We start from the raw sequence: 6,391 nt of genomic DNA on the forward strand, positions 1-6,391 counted from the left end.
CACCCCTCTTCTTTGCACTGCCCCCAGTTTTATGGATATTGAATTCCTGATTTCTCACTATATTAATTGCACTTATAGATATTCTAAATTGATTTGTATATATCTTCCTAGTTTGACCCATTGCTTTTAACTGAATTTTACTGGGCTTTTATAAAGGCCATTTCCATGGAGTTTAGTCATTATCTTCACCAAATTTTTATTTGCTTCAGTCTGGGGAGGAACTCTATATTAAAAAATAAAAACAAACCCAAAAACTAATTTATGAAAGACATTTTATAATGTAATTACTTAAACATTTTTTTTCTTCTTTCTCATACGATCTTTTAAATTCAGTGAGTGACATGTGGTTTTCAGGCTGGGTCAGGAAGTTTGCTTGGACGGGGAAATTCTGTCTGCTGAGACACTAGGGGAGCAAATGCCTATGTGGGCACAGGCTGGTCACTGACCTCCTAGGGTTCCCTGACAATAAATTAGTCCTAGTTGAGGTCGCCATCATCAGAACTTAATTGGTCCCTGGTACTGGTGAATCTCTGCACCACAGAGACTAATCAGTTACAGAACTCAGCTTCTGGGCATAGGCAACCTTTTCTGTTTTTTCAATTTTTTGTCAGCAAAGTTGAGAAAATGAACACACTCAAACAGCCCATTTCTTAGCTTATCAATATCCGTACCCACTTCTTTCCCTCATCAACATGTATTTTCCATATTTTGTTGGTATTAACCTCTGACACTCATCCACACAAGAAAGTCTACAAAGCCTAAACTAACTTTTAAACATTATTTAAGGTAATAGCTTTGTCTTCCACCAGAAACCTGGCGACATTTTTAAAAGGATTTGAAGAGATATATACCCGAGGGACAGAGAGAAAAATTAGTGCTGACCAGTCTGGGCCTACTTGACTAACACAAAATAGATTAAATTAATAAAAACAAGATGTTCTGCATTTATAAACATGTTAACTCTTTTTAATGTGTATGACTCATTAATGAGTTCATAATTAGATTTTGAAGGATTTCATTCTGGACCTTGCAGATTGTATGTATCTTTCTGGTAAATTAGGAAGTATAATTTTTCAATAAAAAAGCTCACTGGAAACCCCTGTAACAAGTAATAAATATTTAAAATTTGCAGAAATGTTTACTTATTCAATAAATACTGACTCCACATTAAGAAATGCTAGAGATAAAGCATTTCTAAAGGCAAATTCTACTGTTTCCTGGTTTTACATTCTAGATTTTAAGACAAAGATGGCTGCCTTGAAATTTTAGTTATGTGAAAGAAATTTCGTAATGATATAACTTTTTCTTACTCTGACTCTGTGAGACTTTTGTTTATATTTTATGAAACTATTTCTATAGCACATGTTATATAAATATATTTGAGAAATCATTTTTAGCTTTCAGAAATTAGTTTGCTTAATACATTTTAATTTTAATAAAGCTCCATTCCTCTAGTCCTTTCATATCTGGAATATATTTCCTATACAATATCTTCTATATTATTTAATACTGCTGTTTTTTAAAAGAGAAATTGAAACCTTTTACTCATATATACCAGACTTCCAAAACTGTCTTGGTTTGAAAATCAGTTCTCCAAAATACTTTCTCTAACTTAACTTTATATCTTAGGTGCAAATACAATCCTGATAAATACTATAGTCAGGCATTTTAAAAACTTTATGTTTCCCATATACTCAGCAGAGTATCATCTTCTTGCCCTTTCCCTCACTATGGTATCCTTCAAGAACTTATTAGCTCAAATTCCAAATCCTCAATGAAACAATCATCTATCAATTTCATAATTCACTGTTTTATTCAATAAATATTTAGTGAATGATTTCTGTGTGTCAGGAGTGTATTGGGAGCTTGGGGACAAAGTGGTGGGCTAGATAGGCATCTTTCTTCCTTCATAGAGTGTATATTTTAACCATAGTAGTCAAAATAATGACTTGGTAAAATCTAAATACTATGATAAAAGGAAAAATATTTCTGGATACAAATGGTCAAGAACTAAGGCACAGTTCATTGACTTTGTCCAGTTTGGGGGACCATCATTTATATAGAGTACTTTATTTTCTTAAATTAAGTATGAAAGACTGTTAAATTATTTGTTTTAATAAGGAATCCATCTAAATCATACTTTCATGCATGAAGGGAGAGAATGGTAAATGTAGTTTCTTCTCTGGCTTAACAAAAGGCTTCATAGGTATTATTAAAGTGTTCATAAAAATATAAAATATATTTTAAATGTTAACATGGCAACTATTTAGTTCGGAAAAAGAATAAAATAGATGGGAACACTTTCAAGGATTAAAGATTGTATTTTAGAGGACATAGTAACAATGTTTGTAGAGCATTGGCCTTAAAATACATGTTCATTAAACACTAACTTGAAGAGGATTATACATTTCCATATGTCTTCACATTTAAAAGGCAAATAAGATTGATGCTTTTGTTAATATTCTCAATTCACCACTTTATCAAAACTAGTTCCTTGACACAGAATGGTGTCTGCATTTCCATAGCCATAAGAGAGAATTAAACATTTTCTCCATTTTTAGCTTTCTCTTTCTGTCTTCTTTTCCCCTTTGGCTTTAGAAAGCCAAAGGCCTAGAGTTTTATTTGTTAGCTATGAAAGAAAACCCTGACCATAAGAGCTTAATACTAACAATACAAAACCAGAAAAGGGCAGAGAGGAATTTCTAACAAATGAGATATGAGGCATACCATGGTTTGCTTCTATGACTTAGACATATTTCCATATATTTTCCAAGGTCATTTTGTGCTATTATATTTTGGTCACACAGGCAAATGTTAACAAACATAAATTATGGGCATTAGAAATTATTTACTCACATGTTCATTTAGTTCAGCAATTTGGAAAATTCATTTTTATTTTGTGTAGAAATGAAATACAAGCTTTTACTTCTCTGACTTGCCTATTCCTGTTGATAAGCAGGGTTGTATAATGTTCATAATTACTGTTTGCCACTATGTTGGCTATTTCATAGTAGTTGTTCTGAAAGTCCACAAGGAAACAATATTTTACATAGTTACGTACCCTATAATATCATCTTATGTTATTAAGGTGAAAGTTATCATAGACAATAAAGTTTTTTGTAAATATTATAAAATTTATAGTGAATGTATGAAGTGCTCATTTTATATAATGCAATATGACCTGAATTTCTGATATAATGGTAGAAGACAAAAATGTTTAAATAAGCTAAATCTCCTCTGAATATATTTCTACATTTGAAATATTACTTTGCTCTTAATACAATAGCAAAATTCAAGTCCTGCTATTTTGTATCTCAGATTTCAAATGTACTTCCATCTTTTAACTATATTCTGCATTCATTAACGATTTAATTTTATCAGAGTATTTTTAATCATAAAAATTAAATAATATATGATATTTTCCTTAAAATGAGGTAATTAATAAATAGTTCAACTTAATACAATTGTAGAATTTGTATTTTCAAGTTGAGTAAAAAGCATAATCATGTCCCTATATATATGTGTGTATGTGTCTGTGTATGTGTGTACATATATATACACATACATATATGTGTACATATATACACATATACACACAGTATAAATATACACACATTCATGCATACATATACACCTGTGTGTGTGTGTATATGTATATATTTACTTATAAAACACATTCTCTTATTTCCAGGTAATTCTATAAATTATATATATGTATTACATTTTCACTACACCTGAAGAAAAAACAGTTTAATTTTTGTTTTGCTTTGTTTTGTTTTTGTTTCTTTCTTTTTTTTTTTTGAGATGGAGTCTCGCTCTGTCGCCCGGGCTGGAGTGCAGTGATGCGATCTCGGCTCACTGCAATCTCCGCCTCCCGGGTTCACGCCATCCTCCTGCCTCAGCCTCCCGATTAGCTGGGACTACAGGCGCCCGCCACCACGCCCGGCTATTTTTTTTTTTGTATTTTTAGTAGAGACGGGGTTTCACTGTGTTAGCCAGGATGGTCTCGATCTCCTGACCTCGTGATCCGCCAGCCTCAGCCTCCCAAAGTACTGGGATTACAGGGGTGAGCCACCGCGCCTGGCTTTTAATTTTTTTATATCACTGAATAAATGTCCATTAGAGTAAAAACTGATCTTAAAAGTTGACTCTTAAAAGTTTCTTTAGATAACTGGTTGATCATTTCATATAAGTTTTTATAGCAATATGTGTTTTAAAGATCATCAAAGCATTTTCATTAGTAAGGAGTTTTCTTTTGTTAGTTTTAAATCCAATGTTTTATATTATTAACAAAATACAAAGTTATTTTCATGATAATATTTGCCATGAGATAAAGAATAATTTGATATCCACAAAATTCTTTAGTTAATTGAGAATATATTGAGTACCTACACATCTTATCTATTTACATAAGGCTGCAAATATAAAAATAAACATTTAGCTTCCTCACAATATACTCAAAAGCAAAGGCTGTTGATTCCCTCCTCCATAATCAGCTCTGAAAGGATATGAAACATGATTTCCGAAACCACTGTCAAAGCTATTTGCCACCAATAACACCAACAAAACTCAGAAAACTTCTCAGGAAGACAGAAGATTGTCTTGAAATGTTATAGGTGTGGAGAAGGTGAGTAACTATAGGCAAAAGTAACATAAAATAAGAGGCAAGCTTTAAAAAAATTAAAATTTAATTGACAAATAAAGATTGAAGATGTTTGAGGTGTACAGCATCTGACATTTGCTTTTCCCCAGTGTTGCCTCTGGTAACCATTACCTCCTTTGGATATTCAATCTTCTATGACTTCCTTCTCTCAATTCTTGGATTTTGTGGATTAAAATCTAACAAAATTGCCAGCTTCTACTGATATGTCTCCCTTCAGGGATAAAGGTGAATCCCTGACCAGAGTAATTGCCTGTGGAGTTGCAACAAGAGGAACTTTGCTGGAACATTCCACGCTGAAGTGTATCACTCCCTTCAACTTAGTCACCAAAGTGCACACACTTGGTGGGCACACATCATGACTTGACATTAACACTAACCCAATACATATCAAGAGCTACTATTAATAGAATAATCAATAACCTCAGTGGACCATGAGTTAATTTAAGTAAATAGACACCCAAGGAGTAGCATGATAATTTAAAAAGACAAACAACCATTTTAGAACAAGATCAGATCTACTGAAAAAGAAAGAAACAAAAATGCCCAACTGTATTAGTCCATTTTCACACTGCTGTAAAAACTGCCTCAGATTTGGTAATTTATAAAGCAAAAAAGGTTTAATTTACTCACAGTTCCACATGGCTGGGAAGGCCTCAGGAAAGTTACAATCATAGCAGAAGGTGAAGGAGAAGCAAGGCACATCTTATGTGGTGGTAGGAGAGAGAGACAGCAAGAAGGGGAAGCTGCCAAATACGTTTAAACCATCAGGTCTCATGAGAACTCACTCACTGTTATGAGAACAGCATGGGGGAACCACCCTCATGATCCAATCACCTCCTACCGGGTCCGTCCCTTGACACAAGGGGATTACAATACAAGATGAGATTTAGGTGGAGACACAGAGCCAAACCATACCATTCTGCCACTGGCCCCTCCCAAATCTCGTGTCCTTCTCACATTTCAAAACACAATCATGCCTTCCCAATAGTCCCTCAAAGTCTTAACACATTCCAGCATTAATCCCAAGTCCAAGTCCAAAGTCTCCTCTGAGATAACGCACACTCCTTCCACATATGAGCTTGTAAAATCAAAAGCAAGTTATTTCCTTTCAAGATAAAATGTGGGTACATGCACTGGGTAAATGTTCCCATTCCAAATGGGAAAAATTGGCCAAAACAAAGGGGCTACATGCCCCATGGAAGTCTGAAACCGGGCAGGGTAGTCATTATATCTTAAAGTTCCAAAATAATCTCCTTTGACTCCATGTCTCACATCTAGGGAATGTTGATGCAAGAAGTGGGCTCCCAAGGTCTTGGGCGGTTCTGCTTCTGTGGCTTTGCAGGGTACAGCCCCCACAGCTGCCTTCATGGGCTGGTGTTGAATGCCTGAGGCTTTGCATGTTGCAAACTGTTGGTGGATTTACCATTCTGGAGCCTGAAGGATGATGACCCTCTTCTCACAACTCCACTAGACTGTATCTTAGTAGGGACTCTATGTGGGGGCTCCAACCCCACATTTCTCCTCTGCACTGCCCTAGCAGAGGGCCTTCATGAGGGCTTGGACCTTGCCAGCAGACTTCTCCCTGGTCATCCAGTGTTTCCATACATTCTCTGAAATCTAGGGGGAGGTTCCCAAACCTTAATTCTTGTCTTCGGTGCACCCACAGGCTCAACATCATGTAAAGCTGCCAATGCTAGGGGCTTGCATCCTCTGAAGCAACGGCCTGAG

The sequence above is a fragment of the Homo sapiens genome, chromosome 5 (genome assembly GCF_000001405.40).
Source record: "Homo sapiens chromosome 5, GRCh38.p14 Primary Assembly".
NCBI lineage: Eukaryota > Metazoa > Chordata > Mammalia > Primates > Hominidae > Homo > Homo sapiens.